The sequence below is a fragment of the Homo sapiens genome, chromosome 18 (assembly GCF_000001405.40).
Source record: "Homo sapiens chromosome 18, GRCh38.p14 Primary Assembly".
Lineage (NCBI taxonomy): Eukaryota > Metazoa > Chordata > Mammalia > Primates > Hominidae > Homo > Homo sapiens.
The window spans coordinates 6,198,464-6,215,504 of NC_000018.10; the positions used below are offsets into that span (position 1 = coordinate 6,198,464).

Below are 17,041 nucleotides of genomic sequence, written 5' to 3' on the forward strand. Positions count from 1 at the left end.
CTTGCACCATAGTCCGATGCTGGCTGTATAATGCATATTTTTCAAGAATAACCATGGATCTAAAGACGTTAATTTCTAGTGTGTATTTTTCTTCACGTTCCTTTGTCTGTTTCTCCATTCCAAGCCACCTGCTTTAAGCTTCATCAAAATCAATCCCCCAAAAAACATAAATTCTAAAATTCCATAAATCAGTCTGAAATGATGAGAGGAAATGACCATGTGTCATAAGAAGTATTAAATGAAGATATCTCAGCCTATTCAAAGGGGACAGTGTAATCACTGTCTAACTGACAAGGAATTTAAGTGTTGACAGTGATAGGCTGGTCACATGTAATACTAGAGAATAGTTACTAAACTACTGAACTCAGACATGTTCTCTTAGTCTGATGAGGTAGCATCTATTTATTATGATGTTCACAATCCTGAAAATATATTTTAGGGTAGAAATAGAAAGGCCAATTTAAATATTTAGATAATTTTCAAGCTCGGAAATTAATCATTATGTAATTACTGATTTTTCCAAATGTTTAACCAATTTCTCCCCACTCATTTAAATTACATTTTTGATTTCTAAAGAGGGAAAAATCTGTTAAACTTTTTAAGCTTATGATGTTCACTAGTGATGTTAAAGAGACAGCAAATAGTTGACCTAAAGAGACAAGTTGACAGAGAAGACAAATGAATAAACTATGGCTAACCCCAAATCCAACACAGCATCAGCTTCCTAGGAGCAGGTAATCAGCCCCCTCATGCCTACATGGGGCTTCTTAAGGTGGATGTGCACTGGCCACTATTTCTACTTGCAACTGGACACCCTAAAGCTACACCATCCAACGTAACAGCCACTGCCCATATGTGGCTATTTCCACTTAAATTCATTAAACTCAACTGAAATGAAGACTCCAGGTCCTCAGCCTCACTAGCCACACTTCAAGTGCCCAACAGCCACATGCAGCGAGTGGCCAATGTACTGGAGAGAACAGAGAGATGCCATGTCCGTCACTGCAGGAAGTTCTGCTGGACAGCACTGGCCTAGGCAATGGGATTACTGTATAGAGACCACCAGTAGTACATATAAGTAGAATTTACTGCCTGGACAAGTGGGTGAAAAGCTAAAAGCTAAGATCCTAAGCCCTATTGCCATGAGACGGGAAGAAAGGCAGGATCCAGGGCAGGAAGCAGCTATGCTATCCACAGCTCCGGGCAGAAGGGGAAATCTGAAGGGTAAGGGAGAAAGATAGCTTTGGGGGTCAGAAAGAGACCTCTATGACCTTGTTCTTGAATAAATGTAGTTTACGGAGGCAGCTGAAATGAAAAAACTCAAATGAGCTTAAACACAAAGAAGTAATGTTGTAGCACAAAATTTGCTTACGGGTGATAGCAGAGAATTATAAAAAATGATCAGAGCAGAGTATAAATCTCTGGGCTCTCACTGCAATACCCAGGGCCCAAGGGCAGTGAAAGAGCTCTGGAAGTGTCCTACAGAAAGCTGTCAGGCAGGACAGGCAGGAATGCCAGCCCAGTGATGGACAACACCCCTGGAAGGAGGAAGCTGCCAGCAGAAGCCACTGATGGAAGCTCAGTGACAACAAGGAGTGGTAAAGAAGAGGGGTTAAGGGATATATTCACAGAGGCCACTACTGCAAATTTCCTGAAGGCAGCAGCAAAGCACAGGGGTGCAAACCTGTTTCTTCATTTTGGAATCTTAGGTGCAAATGAGAAATAATCACTGTGGGACACAGTGAATAAGAAGATGCAATTATATTTTGTATATCAATTTGGGGCTTTGGGATTTTTCATGTATTAAAATACACCATGCTCGTACACTGATAAGCACACACTAGAGTCATTGTGGGCACACGCTGTAGGAGGAACTCTCCTAGCTGGCCAGGAAGCAGAGAGATTAACTTGGTTCTCCAGGTGCCTTAAGCCAAGTGAAGTAGGCCACACTCAAAAAACAATCTGAATCCTTCATGCTACCGGCAGTTTTTGCCATTAGAATTACATTTATTTTAAGAGAAGGAGGTTATTATTACCGGAAAATCACTAGCAAACATTACTGTTCAGAATTCCAGCCATTTATTATCCATTATCTATCCATTACTACTCCACAGTCCCACTGTTTGTCATATGTTATTAGTATAATGGCCTCATAATGGGCTATGCTTCTTTGACACTATTACAATTCTGCCATGGTTCACTCTGTCAATATTTCAAGGGAGGAAGCATCATATAAAATAATACATGATTTAAATTATTCAAATATTATGTAATTCTCACCCATGCTTAAAGTAAGCATATTGCTTCTTAAAGGTATATTCATAATAGAGAAACACCAATGAATTCAATTTTCTATGTGATGTTAGAAATAGCTCCTCTTTTAAGAAATATGTAGGGAGTGTTTAGTTAATGCCAAAGGCTAGTGCACATTTGTTTTGCATAAGGAATAAATAATCCTTAATAAACAGTAATTTGCACCAATAAATAACCTATCAGTACACTCTTATTTACAACTCACATTCATTCCTTTCTCCATTCATTTGGCAAATATTTATTGAGTACCCATGAAATGCCAGGTGCTATTCCATAGGCACTAGGGATATCAAGAGTACTCGGGTAATCAAGGGATAAAAATGCTCCTTCCACTAACTTACATTCTAGAGGCAAAACAAAGTATAAATAAATAAAACAAATATATAATCTAATGTCAGATAACCATAAATACCTATGATGAAAACTAAATTCATGTAAGAAGACAGTGAATTGCTTCAATATTAGCAGGAATAATTCTCCCACTGCAACAAGTAGAAACTCCAAGTGTACACGTTCAGACACGGATTAAGAGGTGGGTTTGGTCATGGGAATATCGGCAATTTTACCATGAGTTTCTCCTTTCCCAGTGAACGAGAGGGAAGATCATGAGAAGAGAATGAGGAGAAGGCTGTGAGGAGCGAGGGTGTGTGAAACAGTTCTCTTGGAGAACAAGAACATGAAATGATCAGAATGCCAGGAATGGGCTTAGGGCTGTCTTGGACATTTGTAGAGAAAAATTTGAAGGCAAATCTCTCAGAATGGCTCTCTGTGTTTCTCTAGCCACAAGATTAAATTTTGGCTCACTCGGAAATTTATAATCAGGCAATTATGTGAGAATAGACAAAAATTACATTCCCAATGAAGTAAGGGATTACAGAGAGACTCAAAGAGAAGGAAAAGACAACCAATTTGGAAAGAAAAATGCAAATTTATATTCAACATGATAGAGTGTGCAACAACCTGACTTAATCATTACACATTCTATGCTTGAGACAAAATTTCACATAAAATTGCACCCCATAAATATGTACAAATATTGCATAAATATAAATACCCCATAAATATGTACAAAATTGCACCCCATAAATATGTACAAATATAATGTATCCCAAAAAAGTGTGGAATAAGATAGTGTTAAGTTAGGTTGAGTCTAAAGCTGCCTCCTTACATATTTTATGTCCAGCCTAAAGGTTTCTCTGTACACAGTGAAGTGCAACTAATTGGATATGTAAACAGACTGTAACCTACTCTTGTGCCAGTCACCAACTTTCAGCCAGTCAAAGGCAGACAACTGTTCACACCACATTCAAATAAGGCAAACACAGAGCTGCAACCAATCCAGCTGTTTCTGTACCTCCCTTCCCTTTTCTGCACATCACTTTCCATCTTCTGTCCGTAAATCATCTCTGACCATGTGGCAGCACAGAGTCACCCTGAACTTCTTCTGGTTCTAGGGCTACCCGATTTGTGAATCATTCTTCATTCAAGCAAACTCTGTTAAATTTGTTTAAAGTTTGTCTTTGAACAACAGGTTGGAGGAGTAAGTCAGGACTTGATTATGCAGGATCTAGTAGGACACACTGAAGAGCTGATTCTTTTTTACCTAAATGCAATGAGATGTCATGGAAGAATGTATGCAAGGGAGTCATGTGGTCCAGTCCATATGTTTAAGATCACTTTGGCATCTTTGGGTAGCGAAGATTGAGAGGGTCTGCAGCAGGTGCAGAGAAACAAGCTAGGAGGTGTCTTCAGTGGTCCAGGTGAGATATGCTGCTGGCTTTTATTAGGGTGGCAATCAAGGGGACTGCAGTCATAGGAATGGAGAGAGGTAAGGAGACTAGGAATATATTGTCTGGAGTTAGTGTCCATTGACTACGGCGGTTGACCATGTGTGGTAACTCTGAGATGGGTAGACTGTAAGAATGACTCCCAGGTTTCTGTTTTAAGCAATTTGGTAGATCAGGCTACCGTTTACTAAGCTGAGGATGCCTAGGGAAGAAAAAGGTTTGTGTATTGAGGAGTTCAGTCCAGGAAAAATTAACGTAGACATACAAAAGATGTCAAAAGTACCAGTTACATACCTAACCCTGGAGCTCTGGGAGAGGTCACAGCAGTAGATACAATTTTTAAAGTTATTGGAAAATATAAAGTGCTGAAAACCAAGGGAATGGATGACCTCACTTAAGAGAGAGAACTGAGCAGACATTCTCAGCCCAGGCATGTATTAAAATCACCTGGGAGAGCTGTACCAAATGCTGATGCCTGCTGGGCACTTCATGCAGTCAGGCTTGAGCACACAGCATAGAGAAGAAACAACAAAAGGCCCAGGACCAATGCCTTGGCCAGTGCCAGTCTTCAGAGGTTAAGAAAAGCAGAGAAGCCAACAACAGGACTCAAAAGGAACAATGAGGTCGAAGAAAACAAGTAAACATAATGGCACAGAATGTATGATAATAATTACTACCCCAGTTCCCTCCACAAAAAAACAGGCTAGATAGGGAAACGCTGATTGAGGTAGGATAGCCGACTCCTCCCACATCATCCAGCCCAGCTCTCTAACATAGAGCCTCACATTCCAGCCCAAAGCAGGGAGTATACATTTCAAGCTTACCTGAAGTTTATTCCAAAATTAGGGTGTAATTGGCTCATAAAGTTGACTAGACTTCCTTTACTTACAACACTGTTGAGGTGGAAGGACTTTCCAGAGAACCTTATAACAGTATTGAGTTGGGAGAGCCTGATGTCTGCTGAATTCAGAGCCAAAAGAAGCCACTCATACCTGACTCACTGTGGAGGGCAGCAAAACCTACCACCCTCCTTGGTTAACGTGGAGAAAGGTATTACAAACCAGGGAAAAGAACAGCCAGTCCCTCCTGCCCTAGGAGCAAACAGGTATTCCTTGCTCCTGTTTAAGAACAGGCATTGCAAACTTCAGTGCACATACAAACCAGGTGGGATCTCGTTAAAACACAGATTCTGATTCTGGGAATCTGGGGTGCTGACCCAGATTCTACGTTTCTAACCAGCTCCCAGGTGATGCAGACACTACATTCTGCTGCTCTTGACTGGGAAGTCTCTAGAGAGCCCTACCTGTACCAAGCCTTTCCAAGGCCACATTCAGCTCTGGAATGAAGCCTCAGCTGCCACATGGCTGCCCTAAGCCTGGGCATGAAATCTGCCTGAACACCTTCTGCCGTGCCCGTTTAGGGTGTGTGCCCAGCCTGCCTCATGTCACCACCTGTTCCTGGGACTGGCATGCTGCCCAGCCTGCTCCTCGGGGCCCCAGCTTTGGTTCAGCTTTGATCCATCCCCTCAGTTTGGTCCAACAACCCTGAAACACCACTCCATCCTCTGTGTTTACAGGATCTACACACCTCCTTTTTTCTATTGCCACACCCCTTGGGGTTGGAGGAAGACACTTCCCCATGAATATGGCCTGGTCCTATTGTTTCCATGGCCTAGCACTGGCCGTGCCAAGAACTCAAGGACACACACAGGACTCTAGATGGAGTCCTGGGCTGGAGAAGTTGGGAATGAGTCTTTACCAAGTAGCAGGAGGAAAAGAAAAAGCTCTGTGGCTACTGCTTGGGCTGGGGCCCCCACCCCTTCTCCCACAGCTGAGCCCTGATGGCTCCAGCAGCCGTGTAACTCCCCATGATTCCTCTGGTCACAATCCAAATAAAGATCTTGCATATACCACCTGACAAAGGGGCTTTCCATAGTTTTAAAAGAAAAAAACATATATGTGCATCCATATATACATGCATGTATACATAGATACACATTAAAACAAATTAAACCCAAAGTCTCTTTTGTCTCTACATGATAGTAAATAAAAGCATTTGGTGTTTGGAAATGCAAATAAAACAAGGCATGTTATATACTTTTTCTAAGAGGAGAAAAACTGTTCTTGAGAAGCCATCTGCCCCTCAGCATCTTTGAGCACAATGCTCCCTGCATTTGCAATGGCTTTTACAGTACTTGAGGGTTTGTGCCCTGCACTATTACACTGAACTGTCACACTATCCTTGCTCTCCAGCTAGATGGTCAGGGCAGGTTCCAGGTATGCATCATATCCATAGGGCCCACAGCTCCTGGGATGGTCTCTTTCTTCTACCTTAGCAGTGTTCAGTAAAGGAAAGCTGTTGATTACACAGTAGACCTCATCTCTTCTACTCCTTTTTACTGAATATTTTACTTTTATGTAAAACAATTGCATAAGGCAGAATAATAGGCTCCCAAAGATGTCGAAATTCTAATCCCTGAAAGCTGTGAATAGGTCCCGTAACATGGCAAGGCAGATTTTTGCAAGAGTGGTCAAGTTAAGGATCTTGAGACGAGGGATCGTCCTGGATTATTCAGCGAGCTCAAAGAAATTACTACAGTGCTGAGAAGAGGAAAATAGGAGTGTCAGAGGCAGAGGTTTGAAGGTGCTACGCTGCTGGCTTTGAATATGGATGGAGAAAGGGGCCAGAAGCCAAGGAGTAAAGGTGGCCTCTAGAAGACAGAAAAGACAAGGAAACAGATTCTTCTCCAGAGCTTCCAGAAGGAACCAGCCTTGCGGACACCTTCATTTTAGACCAGTGACACTTCTGACCTAGAGAAATGTAACATAGTAAATTTGTGGTGTTTTTATTTTTGTTTTTTATTTTATTTAAGTTCTGGGATACATGTATATAACATGAATGTTTGTTGCATAGGTATACATGTGCCATGGTGGTTTGTTGCACCTATCAACCTGTCACCACCACATTTGTAGTAACTTGTTAAAGTAGTAATAGGAAAGTAAAACAACTACATTCTGGAAATATATTAATCTTGTATAAAAATCTACTCATCCTCTTCTCAAAGACAACTCTCCTTCCCCTGAGTCCATCATCCTTTCTTATATCACAAGAAATGGCATAGATTTTGGAAGAAGGAATGGGGGAGAATGTGGTCACCATCTTGCTTCGTTAGTCCATTATTCACTTATTTATTTTTGAAAGATATTCTTCCAGTGGTTAAAAATAGAGTGCCTACAAAGCAGGATGTGAGCAAAAGAGACGATGTTTGGCATAATTAGCTAAGTATCAGTATTAGTAAGGGCATTTGGAATGTCAGAACTGCAGCTGGTCAGAAATAGTACACTTCTGTTCAGGAAAATGGCAGAGAATGTGTATGTCTCCTCCAAAGCTAAGACAAATTCCACAGACTCTTGTTTTCTCTGAAGGAATAGAGTGAGTACATATTGCACATTCTGACTGAAGGTCTGGGAAATGAGGAGGCTTCATTATCACAGCAGGTCAGAGGTCTTATACTTTTTGAGCAAATATAAAGCTTTGAATGAAGGGCCAAGAGTATGCAGAACGAAGAATCTGCTTTATCAAGAACTGTTAGTCTAAAATAAGGTCCTTACTCAAAGGTCCATTAACCCTTGAAACACAAATATAATCCTGTATTGGTGTACACTTATATGTGCATTTTGCATTGGAGCTATCTGTAGCATCCCTCAGACACTCAAAGAAATGTATATCCCTAAAAAAGAAGAGTTAAGAACAACTAGTGCTACATCATCATCTTTTATTTAAGAAGTTTCTACACAGTGTTGTGCATAGAAAACTGTGAAACATTCTATTTCTATTCTATCTGGCTCATGACTGAGCTGATGTCTCTAGCCAAATAATCATGTCAGGATCTCACTAGATCTCGCAGGTCAGGCTGGTAAGATGGGTACAGGGTGGGGGAGTTATCCAGGGAGTTCTAGAGTAGGCGCCAATTCATCACCAAGGCCACATGTTTCCGTAGTGCTGCTCGGCCCGTGTTTCCGTTATTGGTATGCTGACTTTAATAAAAATGTGAAAGGTAAGTCCCTACTACAGTTCTTGGAGAATACAAATACAGTGAGAGACTATACATCCTTTCAGGGGCTTGGCTACTTTCACACTGAAAACCAAATAAAAAGAGGGTTATCAACTGATAGGAGAAAAAAATATGTATTTCTTTTAAATCTAGAAGCTGTTGATTACATGGTAGCCCGCATTTCTTCTACCTTTTTTTACTTAATAGCTAAAATTGATCTAAAACTAGATTGAAAAGTAAATATAGATGTGATTTGGTCCAAAAATCAGATATTGGAAAAAATAAGACAAGGATACAAAACTATTTATACTAAAGGTAACAACTAATAAATTCATCTAATAGTCTAACCAGTACAGTATCTCTTAAGACAGGGGTTGGCAGATTACAGCCCACAGGCCAAAAAGACCCTTATTACCACCTGTTTCTGTGAGTCCCATGAGCTAAAAATGTTTTTTACATTTCTGAATGGCTGGGGAGAAAGTCAAGAGAAGATTGTTTCATGACATGTGAAAAGTATGTGTGATGCAAATTTCAGAGTCATTTATTTGTTTATATATTGTCTCTGGCTGTTTTTGTGATGAACAGCAGAGTCGAGCAGTTACTGCAGAGACCACATGGCCCACAAAGCCTGAAATATTTACTCTCTGGCTCCTTACAAAAAAGGCACTGCCACCTGGTTTAAGAGCTCAGGCTGAAGAACCAGGCCAACTGGTTCCCACCTGGCTCTACCACTTATAAGCTGTGCAACCTTGGCCAAGTCTTTTAAGCTTTCTGCGCCTATTTCCTTACATATGCTACTTTATTGGGTTGCTGTGAAGAATAAGAGTAAGAAAATGGGAAGCAAGGACACAGCAGCATGGGGGTTTGAGTGAGCCAGCTCTAGTACTGTCACTGCTCTTCTTCATTTTACCTGGAATTAACTGAGGCACGTTCACCTGGTTGAGCACTCTCTCTGCTTCAACTTTTCTGGAATTCATGGCTGACACTAATTTATAGTTTTACCTACTCAAAAAATCATCTTTTCATTGATGGGTCATAACACTTCTGAAAATTGTCCCAGTCTCCTTCCCAAATGAAGACAGCCATCAATCACTGTGACACTGTGATGACCATTAATTACAAGCTTAGCTCAAAGGACATATATTTTTAATGTTGGTATCTTGCTCTATCCTCGTATTTCAAAGCCCTTTTCAAAAATGCATCCCAGGCCAGGTGCGACGTCTCACACCTATAATCCCAGAACTTTGGGAGCCGAGGCAGGTGGATCACTTCAGCTCAGGAGTTCAAGACCAGCCTGGGCAACACTGCAAACCCCCATCTCCGCAAAGAAAAAAAAAATTAACAAAAATTAGCTAGGTGTGGTGGCGCACACTGTAGTCTCAGCTACTCAGGAGGCTGAGGTGTGAGAATTGTGTGAGCCCATGGAGGTCAAGGCTGCGGCAGGCCATGATTGTGCCACTGCACTTTAGCCTAGGCGACAAAACAAGACCCTGTCTAAAAAATAAATAAATAAATAAATAAATAAATAAATAAATAAATAAATAATGCATTCCAGTTAGATAGAGGTCAGGTGGCTTTCTGGAAGCACAGGCAACCCTTAGTAAAGTGAACATCACTAACTCATATCTGGACTTTTGTTTTGCATTAATACTCCTGCAGGTTTTTCTCAAACAAGAGCTTTTGAACTTATTGGTCTGACATAAAACCCAAAATAGTTTCTAGTTACATAACTAGACAGCCATAACAATTTCTCTTGGTCATGATGCTCTAATTTCATTGTGAAATGCCACAAATATGTCCAGTTAATGCATTAAATAGGAAAAGACTTGTTGAAGAGACTCAATTTATTAATGATTCAGTAGAACTTATTAAAGCATCTATTTGAAATTCATTTATAATTCATTTCACAGCTTAGCTGCATTTCCCACAGGGCAAATATTTATCAAATGTTACTCTGTTTTAAGTCCTTCCTTTATCTTTATTTGTAGAATACTTTTTCCCACAAATAATGGCTAAACTTCCTAAAAGCATCCACCCATCTACTGTAATTTAATGTGCATTTTCTGATAAGGCAACAGTAATGGGCTTTCAGATATAACAGCACACACTGTACAACCAAACAAAAGAATAATTATTAAACATAATAGCTGGCTATAAATTGAACAAGATACACTGAGTACATCATAAACGCTTATTAGAGAGCAACCATCATAATTAATAAACCTAGCATCTTAAAACCCTGCCATGGCATGAAAAACTTCACCACTCAACTGCCAATGAACCACATATCACCAAATGAATATTTTCAGTATAAAAATCAGAAAATCTGACCTGACTAGTTTAAGTGGATTTATGAGGGTGAGCGAGTAGAGGATCTTGGATGAGGCTGCTCATGGTCCTATCCCCCAGCACTGACCATGTATGATCTCCAATTCCAATGGCTTATCACAGCTACAGGGCAATTGCGAAAACATAGAGAATACTGGCTTCTGAATAGAAACATGGATATCTTTGAAATCTTCATCAAATTACTTAAGTTCTCCATCCCAACTGCACAGCAAAAATAACATCTACCTAAAAGAGTTGATGTGAAGCCAAAAATGTGATATATAACATACTTGCTAAGTGTCCACTCTACTATTACTACTTCTATTACTTCTGATACTTGCACTGCTACATCCACTACTGTTACTACTTCTACTATTACAAACACTGGGCAAGGTATTTCATCCCAATTCTCTTAGCCGGGATATTATTACTGAGCACATATAAATAATGATAATCCTGATTTCTTTAGACCCGAAGCCCATAAGGCCCACTAAACTGGCAAAAAAAAAAAAAAAGCCAAAACAAAACAAAACAAAAACCAGACAATAACAGGTGGCAGTGAAGATGTGGAGAAATTGGAGTCCTCATATACCGCTAATGGGAAAGTAAAACAGTGCAGCCACTTCAGAAAACATTTTGGCTTTTCCTCAAAATCTGAAATATAGAGTTATCATATGACCCAGCAATTCCACTCGTAGTTATATATCCAAAAGAAATGAAAACATACGTCCACACAAAAACATATGTAAATGTTTATCCCAGCAATAATCAAAATAGCCCAAAATAAACAACCCAAATGTCCATCAACTGATAAGGAGATAAATAAAATGTGGTATATCCATACAATGGCTATTATTCAGAAATAAAAAGGAATGAAGTACTGATATTTACTACAGTATGGATGAACCTTGAAAACATTATGCCAGGTGAAAGAAGCCAATCAAAAGATCACATATTATAGGATTCTGTTTATATTAATTGCCCAGACTAGACAAATCCATAGACACTATGGAAAGTAGATTAGTGACTACCAGGGGCTTGGTTGGGTAGAAGGAGGGTAGAATGAGGTGGCTGCTAATGGGTACAAGGTTGCTTTCTAGGGTGATGAAAATGTTTAAATTTAGTGGTGATGGTTGCACAACTTTGTGAATATACTCAAGACCACTGAATTTTAAGGTACGTGAATTGTATCTCAAAAAAGGTATAATAAAAATAGAACTAATAAAATACATAAGGCCAACTACATATTTGGGGAGTGGCAGAAGGAAATGAAGTTGTCTTTAGTGGATCTGCTGCGCTCTGTCAAGAACTGCCAGTACCACACAGGACCCTCCAGGTAGGACAGACAATGTGGGCTTGGGCACAAGCGACAAAGTGAGTGGGGTCATGGGCAGTCACAACTCCTCATCCTACACATCTGCTCTCCCACTAGGAAGTGAGTTATTTAGGATAAAAATTAGAACACAGAGTAGGAAGAGTAGGAATGCTATAAGCTCTAGAGTTGAAAACATCTGTTTGGAAGCTGGGGTTTAAAACCCTGTTCCCATATATACTATCTTGTGACCTTGGACCAATTACTTAATCTCTGTGGTTTCAGTTTCTTCATCTACATAACGGGTATAACAACAGTACCTTATTTCACATGGTTGCAGGAAGATATGTTAACTCATGTAAAGCCCTTAGAACAGTGTGTGACAAAGACTAAGTGCCATGACCACCATAGGCATTGTTGAAAATGTAGTTCTCATTGTTAGAACAGGCTGACTCTGCTCTCACAAACACAGGCATGCAGCACAGTAACATCTGTTCCTGTTAACATTCCCCATGTAATTCCAATCAAACTTCCTGCTTTTTGAACCAAGGAGTGTAGGCTTGTTCTTTGTCCATCTACTGATGACAATTGCTTCCTTGAGGTCCCTTCATTAATACAGAAAATAAATACACCCAGGGAGGGCAGCACAGGGTACTTGTATCAACTAATTACAGCAGCAGCTACTGCTGAAGTACCTATAATATAAAGAGCCAGGTAGAGTTTCAGGAATTTTCCATACATGACCTCATTGAATTTTCACAACAAGCCTGTGAGGCAGGTATTGTTGACGCCATCACTTTACAGATAAGGAAAGTTCAAATATGTTGAGTAACTTCACCAAGTTACCACACAGTCAAATAAGTCAGTGCTGGAATTTGAACCCAGATCAGTCTTGTCCGAGGGCATTTTCCAATAATTATTACTCCAGATGTCCAAGAGAAGAGTAATTATGAAAATATTTGAAAATAAGAGAAGAGTGCCTGTTGACCAACACAATTATTTCTACATATTCAGACAACAGTCAGAGTGCCAAGGTACATTCAGTGCCATTCACTCCTCCACACCCTCCTTAATTCACTCATGCATACAGTAAGCATCTATTATGTGCTGGGATAAAGATTTCCTTTGAAAAATACTGACTTTAAAAAGAAAATTAGAGAATAACAGAACAATATGAACAATATGATCAACACGTTAATTGAAGAATAGAGGAATGTACTGGGCAAAGCTGAGAGAAGAAAAACTTCAATTGCTTGCTCATAAACTGGCAACAAATGATCAATCGATGCTACAGTAAATATCTTATGAATAATAAGAAAACAGTCTGTCAACTAAAAATCTAAGTCAGATTTGATGTGCTATTATGACTGAGCTTATCTTAGAAATGAAATACTTTTTTTTTTTTTTTTGAGACAGAGTCCAGCTCTGTCGCCCAGGCTGGAGTGCAGTGGCATGATCTCGGCTCACTGCAACCTCTGCCTCCCAGGCTCAAGCGATTCTTCTGCCTCAGTCTCCCAAGTAGCTGGGATTACAGGCACGTGACACCACACCCAGCTAATTTTTGTATTTTTAGTAGAGATGGAGTTTCACTATGTTGGCCAGGCTGGTCTCAAACTCCTGACCTCAGGTGATACGCCCGCCTCAGCCTCCCAAAATGCTGGGATTGCAGGCGTGAACCACTGTGCCCGGCCTACTTTTAAAATGAAAGTTAATAATAAAATGTCACTGAATTAACAAAGCAATTATGATATGCAAAAGTCATTTCCATTGAAAATGCCATAAGAGTAAACAGTAAAATTCCAGAAATAAATAAGAGTTAAAGCAATATGTTTAAAATTAAACTTAAAACATTAATAAGAAGGTATATGGTAAAATACCTATGTTATTCCTGAATATTATTTAACATAGTTTTTGTTTTCATTCATCAGAAGAATAATGGACATTGCCAGTGTACATTCTTTTGATAATCTATTGCCAAGCTGGACACTCATCTCTAAATTTTACTAAAATGTATGTACTGACTATTCTCTATAAATTGAATCAGATATTATTTTCAAATTAGGGATACGGCAAATAAGATTTCTTTTAAATTATATCGAACCTAAATCTATCTTTTAAGTTAGTGCCTATTAAAATTAGTTGACTTCAATCTTTATTATTATGAAAAGAAACTATACTTGCATGGAAAATAACTTTTGAGCTGTAATATGTTGTAGAAAATTTAATAAATTCTACAGATGCTTTCAGCTCTCTGAGAAAAATACAGTATAGAAATCTTTTAATCAAATCTTTAATTCAAAATCTAACCTTTTGTTTTTAGCCACAGTGAATAAAGTGTTTTTAATTTTTTTATTTGACAAAGAAAAGCAGGAAACAAAGTTTTAATTGTTCTTGGTAAGCTGTTTAATAACAATGATTTCAAGCGAAATAGAATAATGCCAATAAAAAGAAGCTTAATAAAAAGAACTGACAGTAAAAGTCAAAACAGCAAATCCAAACAGAAAAGTATTAGAATATCTCTCAAAGTCAGTCATGTCTCATCTACAGATTTCCCCCTGCACATACACATAAGCTGGGAATCACTCCATCCAAAGACATGTGACTAGAAATTAAGCCAGGGGCAGTTTTATTCTTCTGCTGCACCAAAAGAATCAGAGCCTCTGTGGCCAGTTTAAGGTGTGAGTTATACACTCTCCTTTTTTAGGGATCCTCTAGTCCCATCTTGGCCAGGGTCAATCTTCAAGGTCAAATCCAGAACGCTTTTCCCCCCAGAAAATTATTGTGCAGATGAATTAAAAAACGAGAAAGGTTCAGAGAATGGGAGGGTAGAGGAAACAAAAGTAATGTAGGAAAAATATTGATATAATAACATAATAATTTAAAATATGTACCTTTACTCTTTGGTCATCAACATCTACAATCGTAGCAACACGAATTAACCTGGGGTTCCGTTTATCCACAACTTCAAGTTTCATATTTGGCAGAAAACCATGAGGCAACCTCTGTAAATGTTATTATAAGTACAACAAATCATGCAAAATTCAGTAATTCAGATATCCTACTAATTTTTTCTAAAATACTACTGTTTTAGTTTTAATATGCAGATCTTCAATACAACTGGAATTTAGTGTTTTTTGTTTTGCTTTTTTGTTTTTGTTTTTGTTTGTTTTTTGAGATGGAGTTTCACTCTTGTTGCCCAGGCTGGAGTGCAATGGTACGATCTCAGCTCACTGCAACCTCCACCTTCCGGGTTCAAGCGATTCTCCTGCCTCAGCCTCCCAAGTAGCTGGGATTACAGGCATGCACCACCATGCCCAGCTAATTTTGTGTTATAAGTAGAGACAGGGTTTCACCATGTTGGCCAGGCTGGTCTTGAACCCTTGACCTCAGGTGATCTGCCCACCTCGGCATCCCAAAGTGCTGGGATTACAGGCGTGAGCCATCATGCCCAGCCAGAACTTAGTTTTAAGAGCACATAGGACTGTATGCATATTATTTCATCCGATTCACAAAAACCTGTGAGAGAAAAAATAATTTTTTGGCCATTTTAAAGATAACTAAAAAGACAAAGACAGATTATATCATAAATTTGTTAATGATTACACTAAAGTTCAAAAAGCATCTTATTACAGTTCCTATATTAGTTTAGTTTTTTTCCTTCTTTCTGATATTGACCTTATAATTTCAGAAACTATTGACTATTCTCATTGCCCAGTTTCAAACTGTATGGCACAGAAGGCAAAATTCTTTAATAAAAACTCAGAAAGGAGAAACACGATCCTTTATAAATCTAAAATATGCTTAGATAAAAGCTGTGTAATTTCAGCTGTTAAACTGTTTTAAAAGCATACTATGATGTACTTTAAAGCCATAGCCTATGCTTTTGTCATTTCATCTGTAACAAGAGACAGGTGATCTGTGTTATGGTTTCTTTCACTTGAAAGGAAGAAACCACAGGCTCATGCCTGTAATCCCAGCACTTTGGGAGGCCGAGGTGGGCAGATCACCTGAGGTGATCTTGCTAGGAACCAAGAGTCTATAACCACAGACACACAGGGATTCATAATCACGGAGTAAGAAAAAAGACACTGGACTTAACCAAATCACAGAAACTAAGGAAATTCAACTCTCAAAAATCAAAATCAAAAGCAACTCTGATAGTTTCTATAGGTTGGCAAAAAGTTTCACTTTGAAAGCTATTACACATAAAAGTGTTCAATTGGTTTTATTGGAAACAAAAGTGTTTTGAATTTTTCAAGTTCAGAAATGGCAAAAGGAAAATAAAACCCAACTAATATGTCAGTAATAAACAGTCAAATCTTTCTGCAATATCTGGTGTGTTTCTCTCCAGCTTTTGTAGAAACACATTTTCTTTGTAAGATGCATTATCACATCTACTAAATGGAGTATACTGACTGTAATTAGGTCTTTCATCCCGGAGAATCTTTCTGTTCTCCCCAACATCACTGTCCTGAACAACAGAGGTAGAAGAGTTTAGTATTGTACACGCCTAAGGTACATCCCTGAGCTGAATCCACAATAACCCAGGACAGAGCTTGGAAGTTGCCTTCTTAGCTACTTTTCAGAATTTTATTTTCTTGTCATTTTCCTCTTGGAAAAGTCAAGTACAATAAGCATTTTTGCTTGCTGAACCTTTGCTCTTTTTAAACCCTTCCTAGTACTCCAACACTTCTACTTTCCTGATTTTATTATATGGACATTTCCCCCCAAATACTGTTAATTATAATCAATTTTTTCAAAAAATGAAATATCATTTTGTTTCAAGCCGCTCTTGATCTCTAGACAATTTTCAGTAAATGAAATTATATGCAGAAGCCCAATATATAAAATTCTGATTAAAGACAAGTTGGGGAACATGAAACACACAGAGAACTGAAAGGGAATAGAGTTTGAAAACCGCTGGTTTAGGTTTAGGATATAAATATCTTTAACTGTACTACCTATGTACTTTATTTTAGAAATTAATTTATACTTAGTTCAATCCTGGAATAAATATATAAGTACAAATTTAAAAATCAGTATTCTAACAAATGCTGAAAGAAAGGTTTACCTCAAAATATATAACATTATCCACACAAAGGCTATGCATTCAACAATTTTGTTATGGCATCATGGACAGTCAAACAGTCCCTGAGAGAGTGGTACTGTGAAAATTCAGAGTTCTCACTCAGCAGACTAATAGAACCAGAAATGTAAGGAATGGATCATCAGCAGTTGATGAGGTGT

General features: G+C 38.8%; 1 protein-coding gene across 31 annotated transcripts in view; it reads right to left on the reverse strand.

Moving 5' to 3' along the window:
* L3MBTL4 (L3MBTL histone methyl-lysine binding protein 4) overlaps window positions 1–17,041 on the reverse strand; it is a 460,543-nt gene that overhangs the window by 243,747 nt on the left and 199,755 nt on the right. For all 31 annotated transcript variants that reach the window (NR_158610.2, NR_158609.2, NR_158611.2 and 28 more), the window contains one exon: window positions 14,686–14,796. Coding sequence is in view for 25 of the 31 variants with exons in the window: in NM_001365765.2 (NP_001352694.1) it covers window positions 14,686–14,796 (111 nt within the window). In the remaining 6 variants the exon portion in view is untranslated. The remainder of the gene's footprint in view (window positions 1–14,685; window positions 14,797–17,041) is intronic.